This window comes from Homo sapiens, chromosome 16 (assembly GCF_000001405.40).
Source record: "Homo sapiens chromosome 16, GRCh38.p14 Primary Assembly".
NCBI lineage: Eukaryota > Metazoa > Chordata > Mammalia > Primates > Hominidae > Homo > Homo sapiens.
Genome location: NC_000016.10, coordinates 14,917,427 through 14,936,391, shown reverse-complemented (window position 1 = coordinate 14,936,391; position 18,965 = coordinate 14,917,427). Strand labels below are relative to the sequence as shown.

At 63.8% G+C, this 18,965-nt stretch overlaps 1 long non-coding RNA gene, 2 other non-coding genes and 2 pseudogenes across 4 annotated transcripts in view, besides 1 other annotated feature; 1 reads left to right on the top strand and 4 right to left on the bottom strand.

The window, feature by feature from the left end:
- PKD1P3-NPIPA1 (PKD1P3-NPIPA1 readthrough) overlaps positions 1–18,965 on the bottom strand; it is a 40,299-nt pseudogene that overhangs the window by 15,669 nt on the left and 5,665 nt on the right. The window contains exons 2-30 of the transcript NR_146231.1: positions 18,781–18,852; positions 18,588–18,659; positions 18,150–18,319; positions 17,266–17,937; positions 16,964–17,147; positions 16,309–16,529; positions 16,005–16,120; positions 15,468–15,594; positions 14,865–15,112; positions 13,636–14,391; positions 12,606–12,737; positions 12,240–12,415; positions 11,754–11,887; positions 10,516–10,659; positions 10,109–10,388; positions 9,802–10,015; positions 9,576–9,735; positions 9,033–9,185; positions 7,867–8,011; positions 6,971–7,141; positions 6,679–6,872; positions 6,070–6,226; positions 5,637–5,889; positions 5,317–5,512; positions 3,651–3,821; positions 3,421–3,564; positions 3,116–3,326; positions 2,899–3,025; positions 995–1,232 (exon numbers count right to left, since the gene is read on the bottom strand). The product of NR_146231.1 is annotated as a PKD1P3-NPIPA1 readthrough (transcript). The remainder of the gene's footprint in view (positions 1–994; positions 1,233–2,898; positions 3,026–3,115; positions 3,327–3,420; positions 3,565–3,650; positions 3,822–5,316; positions 5,513–5,636; positions 5,890–6,069; positions 6,227–6,678; positions 6,873–6,970; positions 7,142–7,866; positions 8,012–9,032; positions 9,186–9,575; positions 9,736–9,801; positions 10,016–10,108; positions 10,389–10,515; positions 10,660–11,753; positions 11,888–12,239; positions 12,416–12,605; positions 12,738–13,635; positions 14,392–14,864; positions 15,113–15,467; positions 15,595–16,004; positions 16,121–16,308; positions 16,530–16,963; positions 17,148–17,265; positions 17,938–18,149; positions 18,320–18,587; positions 18,660–18,780; positions 18,853–18,965) is intronic.
- On the bottom strand, positions 684–18,858 carry PKD1P3 (polycystin 1, transient receptor potential channel interacting pseudogene 3; annotated as a pseudogene).
- MIR6770-1 (microRNA 6770-1) lies at positions 5,513–5,572 on the bottom strand. Its single transcript, NR_106828.1, has one exon. It is a non-coding gene; the product is annotated as a microRNA 6770-1 (primary transcript).
- Positions 5,671–6,484: an enhancer, noted in NCBI's record as "H3K27ac-H3K4me1 hESC enhancer chr16:15023765-15024578 (GRCh37/hg19 assembly coordinates)". NCBI's record gives its function as "activates a minimal SCP1, AML or CMV promoter by ChIP-STARR-seq in naive H9 embryonic stem cells {active_cell/tissue: H9 hESC(naive)}" and the evidence as "EXISTENCE:reporter gene assay evidence [ECO:0000049][PMID:30033119]".
- LOC100288162 (uncharacterized) lies at positions 9,109–10,642 on the top strand. Its single transcript, NR_103772.1, has 3 exons — positions 9,109–9,344; positions 9,565–10,371; positions 10,610–10,642. It is a non-coding gene; the product is annotated as an uncharacterized LOC100288162 (long non-coding RNA).
- Positions 10,389–10,455, bottom strand: MIR6511A1 (microRNA 6511a-1). Its single transcript, NR_106766.1, has one exon. It is a non-coding gene; the product is annotated as a microRNA 6511a-1 (primary transcript).

Here is an 18,965-nt window from a genome sequence, read left to right as displayed (position 1 = left end):
CACAAGGTCAGGAGTTCCAGACCAGCCTGGCCAATATGGTGAAACCCTGTCTCTAATAAAATACAAAAATTAGCCGGGTGTGGTGGTGGGCGCCTGTAGTCCCACCTACTTGGGAGGCTGAGGCAGGAGAACAGTTTGAACCCGGGAGGCAGAGTCTGCAGTGAGCCGAGATTGCACCACTGCACTCCAGCCTAGGCGACAGAGCGAGACTCTGTCTCAAAAACAGCAACAACTACAAACAAACAAAAAACAGGGTTAACAAAACTATGGAATTCAATTCTATTTATATGCTGCAGCCATGTTCCAGCCCTAGATTTGGCTGGGCATGGTGGCTCACGTCTGTAATCCCAGCACTTTGGGAGGCTGAGGCAGGCGGATCACGAGGTTAGGAGTTCGAGACCAGCCTCACCAACATGCTGAAACCCCGTCTCTACCAAAAATACAAAAATTAGCCAGGCATGGTGGCACACGCCTGTAATCCCAGCTACTCAGGAGGCTGAGGCAGGACAATCCCTTGAACCTGGGAGGCGGAGGTTGCAGTGAGCCGAGATCGTACCATTGCACTCCAGCCTGGGTGACAGAATGGAATGAGACTCTGTCTCAAAAAAAAAAAAAAAAAAAGAAGAAGCCCTAGATTTCGGTTGTGTTGGTTGTAAAAGGAGAGACCCAGTAAGTGGGGGTCGTGCCGCAGATTGCTACCCACAATGGACGGGTCACTGAGCAGGTCCGGCTAACTGGGCGTTCCCTCGCTGGAGGGCCAGCACACCAGACTGCAGGTGGCGCGGGTCAGCAAGGTACCAGGGGATGTGTCACACACACAGCCCACCCCCGTCCAGTCACGCACGGACACCCTGGGCTTCCGAGCAAACCTGCTCCCAGGTGGTGTGACCACATGGAGCCACAGACACCCAGCAAGGACACGCAGCCCGCACACCCCCGGCACTCCAGACACAGTGACCTGCACCAGGGCTCGAGGTTTCTCTAGGGAACCCACCTCTTAGAATCATCCAGAAACAAGTCACTCTTCATCTGTCCAGCAAAGGCCTGCTGAGAGGTGCACAGGGTCTTGAGTCCAAGCTGCGCCAAGGCGGCAGGACCCCCAGTAGAGCCCTCACCTCAGCGTGGAGGCCTCAGAACGTGAGGAAGGAGCTGTCCAGCACGGATGAGTCCAGGCAGCTGTCGACGTCCAGCACCTGCTGCCCGGCAGGTGTGGGGCTCGGGCTCCCAGCCACCTGCAGGACAAGGGCAGTGGTCAGCGGGCAGCAGCTCAGACCTGCTCAGGACAGGGATGAGAAGCCACCTCCTCAGCAGACAGGACAGAGCCCGGTGCCATCTGACAGAATGTTCTAGAATGCTAGATATATGGGACATCTGCACCGTCCGTGATGGCAGCCCCTCGCGACATGTGCCACTGAACACTTGACAGCAGACTGGTGCAGCTAAGGAACAGAGTTTTAAATTTCATTTTTTTTTTTTTTAGATGGAGTCTCGCTCTGTCACCCAGGCAGGAGTGCACTGGCGCAATCTCAGCTCACTGCAACCTCCACCTCCCGCGTTCAGGCGATTGTCCGTCCTGGCTCAGCCTCTTTAGTAGCTGGGATTACAGGTGCCTGCCACGATGCCCAGCTAATTTTTTGTATTTTTAGTAGAGACGGGGTTTCACTGTGTTGGCCAGGCTGGTCTTGGAACTCCTGACCTCAAGTGATCTGCCCGCCTCCGCCTCCCAAAGTGCTGGGAGTACAGGTGTGAGCCACCACACCCGGCCATCGTTCCATTTTAATTAACTTAAATACGAGCAGCCACATGTGGCCTCTGGTTCCTGCCACGGACTCGGGAGCAACCCCTCCTGGTCGCGGCTTATGCGCCTTCTCTGTGTGCTGCTGGGGTTAGTTTGCATGTAACCTCTTGAGGACCCCACGTGTGCATTCCTAAGGGGTGCGGCCTCCCGTTTCCGTATGAATGGGAAGAGTTCCCACCTGCTGTATTCTTGGAAAGAGTCTGTGAAGGATTGGTGTTAATTCTTCCTTAACTGCTTAGAAAAATTCTATCGTGAAGGCTCTGAGCCTGGGCTTTTCTTTGTGGGATTTTTTTTTTTTTTTTTTTTGGAGACGGAGTCTTGCTCCGTTGCCCAGGATGGAGTGCAGTGGCGCAATCTCGGCTCACTGCAAGCTCCGCCTCCTGGGTTCATGCCATTCTCCTGCCTCAGCCTCTCGAGTAGCTGGGACTACAGGCGCCCGCCACCATGCCCAGCTGTTTTTGTATTTGTAGTAGAGATGGGGTTTCATTGTGTTGGCCAGGCTGGTCTCGAACTCCTGACCTCAACTGATCTGCCCGCCTCGGCCTCCCAAAGTGTTGGGATTACAGGCGTGAGCCACCGTGCCTGGCCCTTTTTAATGTTTTATATAGATGGGGTCTTGCTATGTTGCCCAGGCTGGTCTCAAACTCCTGGACTCAGATCCGCCCACCTCGGCCTCCTGAAGTGTTGGGATTACAGGCGTGAGCCACCACACCCGGCCCGGCCACTGGGAGGTTTCTAAGGGACTAACTCGGCCTCTTCACTTGCTATAGATGTACTGAGATTTTCTTCTGGAGTGCATTTCGGAAGCGTGCACAGCCGCGTGCTTGCTTCTTCTGAGTTATCTGGCGTGCTGCTGTGCAGTTGTCCGTGGCGTCTGCTTAGCGAAGTGCCCTCGTTCTTTCACGATTCTGGCTTCTGAGTCTTCTCTCTTTCTCCCTGGTCAGTCTAGCTAAGGCTGCTCAAGTGTGTTGACCCTTCCCGAGCAGCCTTTGGTGGACGCCTTTCCCTCTGGCTGCAGCACTGGAAAGTGGCGGCCCTGGGCATGGTGCCGAGGCCCAGGCTCCATTCCCAGTACTCCCGGGTCCCCAGCCCCAGCCCACCTTGCTCCGGGACATCCGGAAGAGAAAGAGGATGGCCAGGTAGACGGGATAGACAACCACGCTGGACACCAGGCCAACAGCGACTGTGTCGACGCTCAGCGGGTTCAGCCTGGACACACGCCCCGTGCTGTGTGGAGGAGAGGAGGCCACACAGGTGAGGCTGAGGGGCAGGAAGGGCTGGGCAGGAAGAGGCTGTCCCGACCCCTACGGCACCCACCTGTAGGCAGAGTCTCCAACAGCCCCGTACCACACGGCGTTGGCGCCCAGGAAGAGACAGATGAGGAGAACGCAGCAGGTGGCCCTCTGGATGTGAGTGAAATAGCTACGAGGCGGCCGGTCCCATATGGAGAGCCAGATGTGCTTGTCAAAGAAGCCACGCTGCAGCTCAGCCACCAGCAGGCGCCGGAAGCGCAACAGGGCTGCGTGACCTAGAAGGCAGGGAGGGCCGCACTGCAGGAGGCCACGGGGCAGGACCACCCTGCCCAACCTCCCACGGAGTGGGAACACGGAACGAGGCCTTACTCGCGGCCAGCACCTCCTTCTCCACCAGGCCCCCGTTGGCCTCCGTCTCCACCGAAAGCCAGTCATTGACCAGGAAGAAGGTGCTGCGTGCCGTCTGCAGGTCCCTGACGATGATGTGCTGCAGGAACCGGGCAGGGCTGAGCCCTGCAGAGGCGCGGGAGGGAGGTCAGGTTCGCAGGGCGCCCCAATGCAGGGGCAGAGGGGCAGAGCTTGGCAGGGTCCATACAGACCTTTGTTGTCGTGCCACACTCGGATCTTCCACACGCTACCCAGGCTGTGCGGGGTGGCGATCTGGAAGATGTCCAGACTGTTGCGGTGGAAGGCTCTGTCGCCGTCCAGGTGCCGGTGGCCGCTCCGGCTGTCCACCCCATACAGCATGATGCCCACGTGGGCCGTGGTACCTGGAGGGCAAGAGGGAGGGGTGGGAGGCTCGGTCTGCTGCCCAACACGTGTGGCATCCCAGGCAAGTCATCTCAGCTTTGGCCTCCGCGCACTCAAGGAGCCACACAGGCAGTCCCGGCTTTGCACAGCTCTGCTATACACGAGGAGCTGCGGTTACTGCAATTTGTCCAATAAACAGCAGGACCTCAAGGACATGATTAAGTTACATGGAAAGAACTGTAACTTGTGACATGCAAACATGGCTGCACACGCCTCAGTCCACACCACAACCAGTGACCCGCACTGCACACCTGTCCACGCCTCAGTCACGCCACAACCGGTGACCTGCACCACACACCCGTCCCTCAGTTCATGCACAGACTGCGAAGCGTGAAGCTGTGTCACCTCCTCTCCCAGTGACAGACCCAGGTGACAGTATTTTTTTTTTTTTTTTTTTTGAGATGGAGTCTTGCTGTGTCACCCAGGCTGGAGTGCAGTGGCGCAATCTCAGCTCACTGCAAGCTCCGCCTCCCGGGTTCACGCCATTCTCCTGCCTCAGTCTCCCGAGGAGCTGGGACTACAGGCGCCTGCCACCACGCCGGCCTAATTTTTTTGTATTTTTTAGTAGAGACAGGGTTTCACCGTTAGCCAGGATGGTCTCGATCTCCTGACCCCGTGATTAGCCTGCCTCAGCCTCCCAAAGTGCTCGGATTACAGGTGTGAGCCACCGCGCCCGGCCGACAGTTTTTAAAAGTAGGTAATCAAAAGAAAGAACTGGGAAATGAAGATGAAAGCAGCATGGAAATAAAAAATGGGAACACGGCCAGGTGTGGTGGCTCACACCTGTCATCCCAGCACTCTGGCAGGCCGAGGCAGGCGGATCACCTGAGGTCAGGAGTTCGCCTGGCTGACATGGTGAAAAATTAACTGGGTGTGGTGGTGTGCACCTGTACTCCCAGCTACTCAGGAGAATCGCTTAAGGGGAATCGCTTAAACCCAGGAGCTGGAAGTTGCTGTGAGCCAAGATCACGCCATTGCACTCCAGCCTGGGCAACAGAGCGAGACTCCGTCTCCAAAAAAAGAAAAACGAAAACAAAAAGGGAATGCCAGAAGGGCAATTCCAATAAAGGAAAATGGAGGTATTGAAGAAACAGCCACGGGGAGGGTGCTGGCACCTCCGCCTGAGAGACGAGCTATGCAGTCAGGATCGCGGGTGGATGCATGGTCTCCCACAGTGGTAGCGATGCTCATGTCACTTGTGGGGCCACGCTACTGTGCAGAACGTGGGCTGCCCACCCTGACTGACTGGCACCTACTTCCAGCTAGGAGCTGTCCTAGTCCTCAGGGACAGTGAGTGCTCACGAGGTCATTCCCAGGATGAACACACGAGCCCTTCACACAGTACTGCAAAAACTGCCTTGTTCTGACGCCTGCGACGAGACTCATTCCCAGAGGGTGCAACCAGCACAGCCAGTGAGAGCAGGGGAGGCCCTGCCACCCCGCCGCGCCCCTCACCTGAGCCCCGGCCCCAGCCTGTCTTGACGAGGATCTCGTACTTGAAGCGGCCCCGCTGCCCACAGAAGGGGATGGCGCGGCCCCGGCTGGCATCCAACTGGTCCAGCTTGTGCAGGATGGCGGCCATGACCATGTAGGTCACCAGGCACACAGCACATGTCAGCATGACGATGTAGTTTACATCCGCTGTTGGCTCCTGTGAAGACACAGCCGCCAGGCCCAGGAGGTCACGTGCAAGCTGTGCCTTCTCAGGATAGAGCCGAGCCCACCCAGGCCCTCCTCGACTCTGCAGAGGCTCCCAGGAGCACAGGGTCACTCACAGGAAACACAAAGCGGATATGGCTTGGGGGCACGAAGAGGCTGGTGCCGAAGGCGGTGAGGTGGCGGGTGAGGCAGACGGCCTGGCGGGGCGAGGTCTCCTCCAGGGGCAGCAGCCCCTCTGTCCGCCACACCACGTCCTCCTCGCTGAAGTACTGGCACAGGGACGTGTACAAGCCCACGGACACCTCCAGCGCCGACCAGCGGAAGTGACTGGAGAGGTTCAGACGGTAACTCCCCACTGGGTCTCTGGTCCTGGGAAGGGAAGGGGCAGTGGACGTGAGCCCAGGCTCCGCCAGGTTGGATGTCGAAGTCCCAGAGCCCATACCCGGTCCAGTCCCCTCGCTGCCTGCCGTCCCCACGGGGCCCGTAACCCGGGCAATGCTGACCCATGATGCCCTGCCCTGCCCTGCCAGGCCGGCCCGCAGAGCTCACCCCGGGGAAATGAAGAAGGTGTAGGGCCGGTGGTCGGCACCCTGGAGGGACTCTGGGCGGATCCTCCTGCTAGCCGAGCAGTTGCGCTCATTGGGCCGGGGCTCCGAGTGCAGGTAGACTGCCAGGTAGGGCTCGGGTTCCTCAGACAGGTAGCGGCCTGGGGCAGAACGCGCAGGTCACACGCCTGCCGGGAAGCTCAACCACCCGGGGGACACCCACGATGGCCCTCCTGAGCCCACCCTCTGCCATGGGCCTGAAAGGCCATAGGAGCCTCTGCACCAGAGCTGGCACCTGCTTCTCCGTGGCCCCCAGCTCCTCTCCGGCCAGGCCCCCAGCAGCCCATGAAACAGAAAGCAAATTTCACCAGAGACACCCATGGAAGCCCTACGAGAAACGCCTTCCCCCCAAGAACAAGGCCAGGGGGCCGCGTGTGCCCCAACCGCTGCATGCACCGTCCAGCAGCGTATAGTTGAGCTGCAGATGCAGCACGGCCGCAGGGTTGCTGCTGTCCAGGGTGACCACAGCACCGACGGAGGCCTGGGGCTGGACCACAACGGAGTTGGCGGAGCTGCGGTGGCCCCGGGCAGCCCAGTCCGAGTTGTTGGGCACCTTCACGGTGAGGCGCGCTCTGAGGCCAGCCGCTCGATGGGGATCTGGGCGCCGGCCTGTGTCTGGAACGCCATCGAGGCCACCTTGGTGGAGACGGTGTAGTTGCTGATATAGCCAAAGGGAAAGGGATTGGAGTCCACCAGAAAGATGAGCTGCACCACGTCACTGAGGTTGGCCGGGGCCCTGCTGAAAGCCTAGGGGATGGAGAAGTGGCAGCCAGGCCCTGGGGCGCCGCCATAGCACAGCAGGCTCCGCGGGTCCGAGCGCTTGCCCTGGGCCACGATCTCCTCACCCGCCAGCGTCAGGGGCTCCTCGTTGAGCACGCGGGAGCGCGTGAGGATGGGCGTGAGGGCAGAGGTCAGGTTGTAGGCCTGGGACGCCACCATCCGCGATGGTGACTCGGCTCCCAGCTCTGAGCGCTGTGGTGCCCGCACGTCTGAGCTGGCCAGGTGGATGAGGTCTCCTGCAGACAGGCGTGAGGTCAGTGCAGAGACAGGGAGGCAGAGGGAGGGTGGGGGCAGGCAAAAAGGGGGAGCCGGAGGGTGGGGACTGGGAGAAAGGGGGAACCTGAGGGGGCAGAGAGCGAGGTGCAGGCAGAAGGAAGGGGGAAGCTGGAGAGAGAGTGGTGGAGGGGGAGGGGGAAGGGGATGGGGATGAGGACGAAGATGAGGGGGATGATGGGGAGAGGGAGGAAAAAGGAAGGAAAAGGGTAGAGAAAAGAGAAAGGGGAGAAGAAGAGGAGCAGGGGGAAGGGAGGGGAAGGGGATAAGGCGGATAAGGGAGGGGAAGGGGGATAAGGGAGGGGAAGGAGGATAAGGGGGATAAGAAAGATGAGGGGAATGGACAAAAGGACGGGGAGGATCGGGGGGGAAATGGAGAAAAGGGGAGAGAGATGGAGAAAAGGGATGGTAATAGGGAAGGGGGAGGGGGAGGAGAATGGGAATTGGGGGAGGGGGATAAGGATGGGAATTGGGGGAGGGGGATAAGGATGGGAATTGGGGGAGCGGGATGAGGATGGGAATTGGGGGAGGGGGATGAGGATGGGAATTGGGGGGAGGGGAGGGGGACGAAGATGGGATGGGGCAAAGGCGAGGCGGTTGTGGGGAGGAGGGAGGCAGAGGAAAGGGCGGCATGGGGCGGACGGGCCACGTGGGGCGGGCGGGTGGCGTGGGGCACGGGCCGCGGCACCTGTGATGTTGAGGATGCTGTCTCCGATGGCGGTGGGCGTCACGGTGCCCGCGGTGGTCTCTGCCTGCAGGATGCGCATCATGGCCTCCAGCTTGTGCAGCGTCTGCTTCAGGCACGAGCGGCATACGAGCTCCCTGCTGGGCCCCTGTGTGGAGCCAGCAGTGTCCAGCCCCGCTCCTGGCCCCACTCCTTGCACACGCCCTCCTCTCTACACGGGTCCTCACCTGGCTCCCACCTCCAGCCCTGCAGCTGGAGAGCCCACTTGACTGGACCCCCCCAGTCTCCTCACTAAGCATTTTCTGTGGCTCTGCATGACCCACGGCCTCCACTTGGGGACCACGTGATGCAGCCCACCGACCACACAAGGCACCTCTTCACATGAGAGGAGGAGGAGGGGAGAGGGGAGAGAGGAGAGGGGAGTGGAGAAAAGGGGGGAGAGGAGAGGGAAGGGGAGAGGAGAGGGAAGGGGAGAGAAGGGGGAGAGGAGAGGGAAGGGGGAGAGGAGAGGGAAGGGGGAGAGGAGAGGGAAGGGGGAGAGGAGAGGGGAGGGGAGAGAAGGGGGGAGAGGAGAGGGGAGAGGAGAGAAGGGGGAGAGGAGAGGGGAGGGGAGAGAAGGGGGAGAGGAGAGGGGAGGGGAGAGAAGGGGGGAGGGGAGAGAAGGGGGAGGGGAGAGGGGAGAGGGGAGAGAAGGGGGAGGGGAGAGGGGAGGGGGAGAGGTGAGGGGAAGGTCTAGGGGAGGGGAGGAGGGGAAGGGCTAGGGGAGGGGAGGGGCTGGGGGAGGAGGCAGGGGCTAGGGGAGGGGGGAGGGACTAGGGGAGGGAAGGGGGAGGGGAGGGGTTAGGGGAGGGAAGGGGAGGGGAGGGGCTAGGGGAGGGAAGGGGGAGGGGAGGGGAGAGTGGAGGGCACAGAGCAGCATCTTCTTAGTCCCTCCCCACATCTGGGCCCCTCTTTACACCCTGGGTCCCCCGAGAGGCACCCTGCGTTCACACAGGACAGCAGAATGGCTGAGGCTACTGAAGCAGGTCAGAGACCGAGGAACGCCATGGCAGGAAGGAGCCCAGGCTGGAGGCTCAGCTCCTCGGCCAAGCTGCCCGTCTGCCCTGGGGGGCTGAACCCAGTACCCTGGCAGGCATGCGGGGCGGGGAGAGCATGTGGGGCCATCCTACCATGCACTGGGCCAGCGCAGCAGCGATCTGCTGGATGTCATCCACAGTGTGGACCCTCAGGGACACCAGAGTCTCCGTGATGTTCTTGCGTATCTGGGCTCGGCGCTGCCGCTCGTGCTTGGGCTCTGCCGCCACGTCCAGGGCCCGCTCGTACTGGGGCAGGCAGGGGGCACAGCAAGCTGTCAGCAGGGCAGGAGGCCGGCAGGAGGCCAGCAGATGCCCACGACTCCCGGGGTGCAGTTACGTGCTAGATGCTGTGTGATGTGGGCACTGACCCGCAACACTGAGCTGTTTCTTCATGGGCAAAACAGGGTAAGCACATGGGCCCTCCTGGGCGGGGGCTGCATTGTGGAAAGCAGACGCCGGAGAGGGCCCGGTGGGTGTGGCTGCTGGGAGCGGAACGTCGGGGTGCTGCTTCAGGGTCACTGGGATTTATCTCTGGGGCCCGGGATGAGCCCTCCGCAAAGCTCCAGGCAGGGGAACAGGTCTTGGTCCCCAGCACGCATGCAGCAGATGTGAGGTCCCCTCCCAGGCTGCACTCACCTCGTTCAGCACAGTGACCAGGGCCAGCGAGTACTCGATGACGTGCTGGGGATCGGCCTGCCGCAGCAGCCCCGGGAGCACACTAGCGGTGAGCCCGTGCAGCCAGACTGTGAGCCCCATTGCGCTGCCGTTGGGCTCTGGGAGGGTGATGGCCAGAGACCTACGAGCAGAGGGGGGTGGTGAGCAGGTGGCAGTCTCGGGGGCGCCCTCCCACGGCCTGGCTCACCTGTTGAGGGCGACCACAGCGGCTCCCAGCTGGTCCTGCACCACCACGGCCAGGCCCACCTCGAAGTGTGGCCTGAAACCCGGGGGCAGCACGGCTCCGTAGCCGGAGAGGCTGCCCTTGTAGACACAGAACTCCTCGCAGTGGCCCTGGCGACAGCGCTGCAGCAGCAGGGCGTACACCAGCGGGGCGCCAGCATCCTCCGCGTCATGCCAGCCTGAGGGACGGTCCCCACGGCATCACGGGAGGGCTCCGTGACCTCACAGAGTCGGGGGATCCCGCTGCTCCCCCTACGCAGGCCTGCACTCACCCATGCATTCGAAGTGCACCTTGGTGGTGAGAGCGTGCACAGCGCCCAGTGGGAAGAGGCGGCAAGAGCCCCCCAGCGGCGGGCGGTTGGGGGACAGGGGGATGGAGGCGCAGCCCTCCTCCTCGCCAGAGCGGCCCAGCACCGTCAGCGTGAAGGTGTATCCCTCGCCGTCCCGCAGCACGCCCCGCCGCAGCACCAGTCACATGCCTGCGCTGCCCGTGGATGTGGTGGTCTCATCCAGCACCAGCGTCTTGTTGCTGAACGTACGTGCAGCCCACCGCTGCAGGCAGAAGGGATGGTGAGGGGGCGCAACCCTCTGCCCTGTCAGCCCCACTTCTGCCTGCAGGCCCCGTCCCCTCGGCCATGGGACCCATCCCCAACCCGCCCACACCCCGCTCAACACTCACCCCTCGCTTGGAGCCGCTGCTGCAATTGAGGCAGCGGCCCTCCAGGTACACGTAGGAGCTGCGGCTCACTTCGTACACGGCCTGTGCCTTGCAGGACACACACTCCAAGGACACAATGGGCACCCGGCCACTGCGGATCAGCACCTGGCGTGGGAGTGGGGTTACCTCCAACACAGGTCTATTTGGCCTGCTGGAAGGTCTGGGGGACCCGTGGAGGATGCTGCTCCCAAACTCCAGGTTTCCCAGGGGCCTGGCCACTGCCGGTGAGCTCACCCCCTCCCAGGATACTCATCCGGTTTGCCACCTTCCAACCTGGGCGGCGGAAGGGCATACACAGGGCAGAGGACACTGGGGTGTGTGTTCTGGTGTACTGGAGCCAGCTGGACCCTGACAGGAGGCAGGCAATGCTCACTGAGGGCCCCTGGGGGGATGCGTGTGGGAACAGACGTATGTGGGGGTGTGAGGACCGCAGTTGCCACGTAGGCCTGACTCACAGACTCCTGCAGCCCTTAGCCAGGGCCTGGGTCAGGAGGCTGAGCCGGGATGGAACCTGCTCCCACACCCTCCCCTCAGACGACCCCTCTGGGCAGACCCCCAATCAGGCCAGCTGAGGAAAGCAGGGACTGGGGAACAGACACCCACTCTGGGGTACCAGCAGGCCCCAGTCAGGGAGGCGCACACACTCACAGAGGGCAGGGAGGCGCACACGCTCACAGGCACCTGCTGCGTCCGGTTCTCGAAGGCATTAGATGCCAGCAAGGTCAGGACGTACTCACCTGTGGGGACAGGCCCAAGTGGGGCAGCCGCGGCACCCCCACCTGCTCCCCACCCGCTCGGCAGAAGCCCCCCGCCTGAGGAGCCCGGGGTGAACGGCTGCGCCTGCGGCCCAGCCTTAAGGGTCCCAGGCTCCCAAGCCACGTGCGGGACGGAGCACAGGTGCAGCAGCACTGAGGGCTGCCTGGTGAGGACGGCACCGCCTCCAAGTGCAGCTGCACTCGGGGCAGCAGAGCAGCAAGAGCCAGGCCGCGGTGGGGGGCAGTTCAGGGGGCCCAGCTTCCCTGTCCACTCCTCCCACGCCTGGCCCCTCCCTCACCCCAGTAGGGGCCTAAGCCATCAGCCCAGGTGAGGTCACAGTGAGGGCTGTTGGGGAGGAAGCGGGGCAGCTTGACTGGGGGACTGGGGGGGCCCCGTGCTCAGAGCCTGAAAGGCAGTGGCCCCCTCACCCCCTCATCCCTCACCTGGGGCAGCGTAGGTGTGGGTGACATTGTGCTCCACCAGCACCTGGGCCACCGAGGGGTCTGGAACCGGGAAGGACTCGTTGTATGGAGGCTGGAACTGGTGGAGGGCCTGCTCCCCATCCCCAAAGGTCCACCTGCCGGGGCGGTGGGAGGCAGTGAGTGAACCGGGACAGGGGTGCGCAGTGGCGGGGCACAGGTGCGCGGTGGCGGGGCAGGGGGTGCTTGGGACCCAGCCGAGGCTCCACTCTGCAGTCACGCCCCGGGCCTCCATTCAGGGCCCACCCGGCTGTGCTGAGGCCTCTCCCGGCTCCCGTGCAGCCTCAGGGCTCCTGTGCACCCAGTACCTCCCAACAGACAGGGAAACCGAGGCTCAGAAAAGCAACCCCCTGATGTGGGGTCCCTCGGCTGAGGCTGGAGCCGGGACAAGAGCCTGGTGCCCGGACAAGAGCCTGGTGCCCACCCCAAACCGGCCCCTGAGTCACTCACAGGAAGGCCACCTCCACGGCCGAGTCCACCAGCACGCCCGCCGTCAGTGCCAGCGTGGCATTGGGGGACAGCACGGCTGGCACTGTAGAGACCCGCAGGCCCTGCATCCTGTTCATCCGCTCCACGGTGATGTTGTAGTTCACGGTGACGTTGCTCACGTGGTTGGAGGCCGTCAGCTGCAGGGACAGGCATCAGTGGGCCCAGGTGGCAGGTGAGAGGCCTGCCCTGCTTGGCGTCCCTCCCTCCACTCACCACAGCCATGGCAGCGTCCTCGGGCAGCATGAAGCAGAGCAGAAGGCAGAGGTGAAGGTGGAGCCCGCCCCCGCCCCGCCCCATCCCCTCCCCTCCCCACTCCCGCCCACCTACTGAGAGCTTGAAGACCGCCGCGCTCTGATAAATGACATTGAAGACCACGTTCTGGAAGGTCAGGGACTGCTTGTCGTTGATGGTCCACCAGAAGACCATGTCCGAGCCGGCCTCCACCACGGGGCTGTACCTCTGCGGGGGGACTGGTGTCAGCCTGGGCTCTGTGGAGGACTCTGCCCTTAGCCTGTCGCCTCCTGGACACACCTCCCGTCGGGCTGGAGAGTCCCACGTGGGGCACAGAGGAGAGGAGGTGCCCGGGGCTCTGCATGCCATGAGAGCCAAGCCCGGGCTGGGACACTGACTGTCCGGCTCTCCAGCCAGCCATGTAGTACTACTAATGCCTCAACCTCTCTGTGCCTCAGTTTCCCCATCTGTAAAGCAAACCTAGTACCAGCTACAAAGAGTCCACCTCTCTCTGAGTCTTCTCAGACCCTCCCGGGGCTCCTGCCCCAGCTCCTCAGCCAGAGAGCTCGGAGCAGTGAGGGGAGGCACACGGGCCTCACAGGGACAGCACCTACACTGGCTTACAGAACCCAGGACAGGCTGCACAGGTCACGCCATTTCTCATGGCCCCTCCCAAGGCCCCTGGTGAAGGGGCAGGTACCCGCAAGATGGAACAGCCCTGTCCCCCATGTACCCAGCATGGTGGCACCGCGGGCAGCCCGCAGTTTCCCATCAGGGGTTCGGACTCCACCTCAAAAGCCACTTGCTTTAGCCAGGCGAGAACACAGCAGAGGGCGTGAGAGACTCACGGGGACTCGTGTGAGGTCAGGGAGCGGAGTTTTAAATTCATTTCGTGAAATGAGACGGTGGAATGAGTTAGCGGAGCCGCTGTCAGAGCCGTGACTTTCCAGGAATTTAAAGCCCACCAGGTAGCCTGAGGAGCCAGCCAGCAGGACCTGCCCGGGGCCGACGTCCCCAGTAACTGGGCTGCTGCCCTCACTGGGAAGCCAGGCCTCACGCCCTGTGTGAGCACCCTGTCTGCAGGCACCTGCCTGGGGGCTGGTGGTGGAGCCTCGGCCATACTCACCACTGGGACTCCCTGCAGTACACGGGCCTCGGGGCTGGGCGTGGCGCGGAGGCCACAGATGGGCTCCTCCGCCGTCACCCGCAGGCTGAGGTTGGCCCGGCTGGCGCTGTTTTCCACCACAACGTCCATCACGTGCTCCCCCTCACCGAGCCACGGCAGTGCTACCACTGAGAACAGGGTATCATTGGTCTCCCAGGGGCAGCCGGGCACGAAGGTGGCCACCAGGGCAGGGCAGGCATTCTCAAAGCGGGCGCTGACACTGCCCCCAGGCCAGCAAGCCGTGGCCGTGGCGCTGGCACCAGAGTCCACCTGGAGCACCGAGGCTGAGCCGTTGGTGGGCACGTAGAGGCGGCCGTCGCGGGGGGCAGGGTAGATGACCCGCAGCCCAGCCACTGGGGAGACCACGTCAAAGCTGCAGGACAGGTTGTGCCTGGACACGCCATTGCCCACCTCTGCCCGGACCTCATAGCGCCCAGGCAGCCGCAGCCCAGGGTTGGGCCTCAGGCCCAGCAGCACGGTGAGCTGTTCCGTGGCTGCAAGCAGCCGCAGGGCACAGGCAGGGCAGGCCCAAGTGCCCTCCAGCTGGGCTGGCAAGTGGGGCAGCCATGACGAGGCGTTGGCGGAGAGGTACGGGGCCTGGGGACCAGGGTGGCCGGGAGCCGGCGAGCAGTGCGGGAGGGCGCCAGGGCCAGCGTCGTGCTGCAAGCCAACGAGGTCACCAGGGAGCATGAGGACATCCTGGCCGTGGAGGGTGACCTGTGGAGAGGGAGGCAGGGCTGCATCACGTCCTCACGGTCATGGCCCGTGGACCCCTGCACGACGGATGAGGGTGGACACGCAGGGCTCCCCGCTTCGTCAGCCACACCTCAGGGAGCCTCCCCACAGTGCTCGTGACAAGGACAGGCAGGACAGTTGCAGACAGGGGGACACACGGGGAGAGGACACAGGCCAAGACCTGACAGACAGGAAGGAGCGGCTGTGCTGGGAGAGAGGAAGAGGAGGCACAGCTCGTGCCAAGGGCCCAGGCGAGAGCTTCTCCCACTGGGAGAGGGGCAAGGGCACTGCAGAGGTCGGAGGTTGGAGGTCGGAGGTCGGAGGTCAGAGGTGGCAAGGACGTGGGAGGGGCCTGCAGGCTGGGTGTGTCTGCTGCGCAGACCCAGACCCTGGGCAGCAGACAGGAAGGTGGCCTGAGGAGATGCAGGGAACAGACCCAGGTCAGGGCCACACACCGAGTACTGCGCGGGGGGCCCCGCGGGAACGGAGAAGAGGAACTCTCTCCATAGCGCATAGGGGGACCCGAGTAGCCCTGGCCCTGACGTGCAGCCATTGGCGCAGGCCTGGGGGTGGCAGGAGGCGTCCAGCGGCAAGCAGATGTTGGCTCCAGGGCACCAGCGTCCCCCTGGCATGCACGCGGGGACCAGCTGGGTCCTGTTGTCCGGGGACCTGCTCTCAGGCTCGCTGCCGTTCTCCGGGGTCCCTGCGAGGAGGGGAGGGTGTTGGGGCCCTGATTCGCCCATGGGCCACCGTCAGAGATGCCCAACTGCCTGCACCAGCGAGCCTGGCCTTGCTGTGAGGACAGGTCTCCCCGCCCGGGCAGCACTCCCAGCCCAGTGCTGCGTCCCTGTCTCCGGCCAGCTGACTGACCCAGGCCGGTCCCCAGGCAGGCCCCACCCGATCCACCCCCAGGACACCTGGAATGAGCTGGTGTCTCTGGAACCCCTGCTCTGTCCACCTAAGACTGGGAACCACTCTGATGGCCACAGGACCAGCAGACGTGAGAGCTCAGAGAGGCCACCCCGAGTCCTGCGGCGCCCACCACCCCAGAGTCCCACCTGCTGTGCTGAGGAGCCGGTACACCTGCAGCCGCAGCTGGGCGGGCCGCCGGAGCTCCTGGGTCCCAAATTCGGCCGTGGTGAGGAAGGCTTCACGGCTCAGACGCAGGCCCGGGAATACCATGACCTGGTGGGCAGGGGGCCGCCTCAGCTCCACAGACCCCATCCCAGCCTGAAGCCCAGACTCCCCCCACCCGAACTTCCCAGGAAGAGGGGAGGGAAGGAGAGCGAGCCATCGGACCCCCACAGGCCTGGCTCCTGTCGCTCGAGAGGAAGACTCCGATGGAAACTGTCCATGGGGGGCAGGACCCCTGACCTGCCTTTCAGGAATAACTCACCCACACTCAGAGAAAAGGCCTGGGGGTAATGTGAGTAAACGCTTTCCTCTCTGCCCTCTGGATTTTCCCAACCATCTTCACTGGGCACAAGCAACATTAAGGCCCCCAAGTTTTTTGGCGAGACCCACAGTGGGCAGGGCAGGCGAGGCCTCCAGGGGCAGGCAGGAGGGCAGGTTATAGAACGTGGGGGGCCGACTACCTCCAGGGGCTCGTGCGGGGCTGAGAGGCCGTACTGCCGTGCCAGAGGCATCAGGGGTCCCTACAGGTCCCCACTGGGCGCTCCCACGAGGAGGTTCTCGGCATCCTGCACTGGGCCTGGGGTGGCAAGTGCACAGTGAGGCGCCGGGCCAGGGCCCAGGACACCAGGACGAACAGACTGGGGACCGAGCCGCCCGAGAACCCCCCCACCAGCCCCTCCTCCTCAGCCCAGGCTCCACCGCGGGCGCTCGGCAGGCCCCTAACCACAGCCAGCGTCTCAGGCCCCTGCCTGGCCCCCCGCACACCTCCAGGCCGCAGCTCGCAGACGTAGCTGTGCGGCGCTGAGCACAGGTCGGTGTTACACCACCCGGTGGGCCCGAGCCGGACGCAGTGCTCAGCTGTGGCTGGGTGTGGCTCCCCGGGCAGCCAGTTCTGGCAGCTCTCCAGGCTGAAGGCCTCGCCCTGCGGCGCTGGGCCCACCTCCACCCCCTGCACAGTCGAGAAGCCGATCCACATGTCTAGGCTCCTGGGGGCGGGTGTGGGATGGCAGGGGGCTCAGGGCACTCCTCCATCCTCCCACCCTCACAGCAGCCCGCTGGGAGCCCCGTCACTGTCCCCCTTTCCAGATGGGGAAACTGAGGCTCAGAGCCCGGAGAGCAGGGCCCACCAGCCCAGGCTCACAGCAGCACCCACCCACGGGGCCTGTGGGCACCGGCAGGGATCCCCGTGCAGGCCACCTCCCGTATGGCGTGCCCAGGAGTGTCCGGAGGCTGCCCCCAGCTCGCGTCCACCTCTGCATCTGCAGAGCTGACAGGAACGGCCCCACCGGCCGGCGCCACCTGCTCACCAGGGCCGGCCCAGCTCCCACCTCCCTCCTCCTGAGACTCCCCAGCCGCAGGCTCTGCCCCACTGCTTCAGAGATCTCCCAACCTATGGCCCCTCGGGGGGTGGGGCAGGCACCTGGTGACCCGGGAGACCAGGAAGCGCTGCACGGCGGGACTGTCCACCATTGCCAGGGTGGCCCCGGCCCAGGCCCGACACTGCTCCTGCGCCTGCAGCCAGGCCGCCTTCTCCACCACCAGGCGGTAGCAGTGCCCATTGCCAGAGAAGATCTCCGTGTCCGAGGGGCAGAGCGGGTGCACCGCTGGAGACCGGTGGGAACGAGGGTGTCAACGGTCAGTGTGGGCCCAAGACGGGGGTACCAGGCTCTGCCCCATCTGGATGGCCCTGGGGAGGAAGGGGAGTGGGCAGCAGACACTCACCTCGGGCCGGCTCCTCGCCCAGGGCCACGATGCTGTAGGCGGCCTCCAGGCCTGAACCACCGCGGTTCTGGATGCTGAGGTCGAGGCTCTCGTCACTCTGCACCGAGGACGGGCACACGAGCTTCAGGGCGGCAGGTGCCGCTTCCACCTGCACGTCTGTCCCCAGCAGGGCTGAGCCGGTCCCCAGGGCCAGCACGGCCGTCACGTGATAGCGCCCAGGCAGCACATAGCGATGCGAGGCAGCCGGCCCAGCGGCATCCACCTCGGGGGAGCCGTCTCCAAAGTCCCAGCATGTGGCAGTGACAGGGAGCGGGGCAGCGATGTGGAAGGCTGCTAGCTGGCCGGAGGCCAGGGGTCCGTGGGGCCCCACCAGGGCGGCCCCTGGGGAGGCAGGGAAGACGTGCTGGAGGAGGGTGGGGCTCCTACAGGTGGGGGCAGGAGGCGGCAGGGGGCCGGAGCAGAGGGACAGGCAGGCGAAGGAGGCACTGGAGGGCTGGGCCGCCCCACACAGGCACCAGCCCTGCTCCGAGAGGGCTGCGAGGCCCTGGCCGGTGGAGAAGCAGAAGGCGCTGCAGGCCTCTGGCTGAAGCAGGCCTTCGTGGGCAGCTGAAAAGGACACTGCTGCCACGGTGCCTGAGCTGTTGTCAGGGAGGCAGGCGACATACTCCTCACCTAGAAGAGGCAGCCACTGGACCCCGGGTTCTGCTCCTCCTGGCTCCACCCCACACCCCCCCATCCGCCCGCCGCACTCACAGGCTCCCATGCTGTTCCCTTGGCCCGGAGGCCCCCCCCAGAGAGGCCTTCCTGAGCCCTGCCCAGTGTCTGCAGGGCCCAGGTCCCACCTGGCTGGGAAGGACAGAGCTGCCCCACCCACCGGCACTCACCACAGCCACTGTCCAGCAAGGGGATGCCAAGCAGAGGCTGGCCAGCCAGGGAGCCAGGCCCAGCACACGTGGCTGCCTCGGGCTGCACCACCCGCACCTGCTGCTCCTCCGCCCATCGCGGCAGCCACGCCAGGCCACAGTCACACTCAAACGGGTTCCCACTCAGGTTTCTGCGGGGCAGGGGCAGGTGTTGGGGACCAGGTCTGGTGGGAAGGGTCTATGCCAGCCCCCCACTGGCAACCAGGCCCTGGAGCCACCCTGACAGCACCGCCTCCCCTGCCCCAACCAAGCCGGCACTGGGGGGCTCCAAGCAGGTAGTGAACTGCCCCCAGGATCTGGTCTCAAGCCTGGAAGGGGACACGGACCAACTGGGAGGGCAGAAGGGATACTGGGGGCCTGGGGTCCAGCCAGGACCCCACCCAAAGAACCACAACTTACATTTCACTTAAATTAAATAAATTAGCAAATATTCCTTCTTCTAACGTAGAAATCTTGTTGTTGCTTATATCCCTGGAAGAGAGGGGGGATTCGGCAAAGCTGACGGAAGCCCCCACAGCTGAGCAGCAAGAGGCGGTGCCGCCAGCCCACCCGGAGTGAGCCCCGCATGCTGGCACGACTGGGGGACACTCACAGCTCTGCCAGCGCCGAGAGGTTCGCCAGGAGCCCAACGTCCAGCGCCCGGAGCAGGTTGTGGGAGACGTCTCTGAGGAGTGAGTGGCCGTGGGTCAGGGCCAGAGCCCTTAGTAGGCCAGAGGCCATCCCTGGGCCCATCCCACACATTGCCAGCATCCCCAAGCTATGGCCTCCCACCCTTGA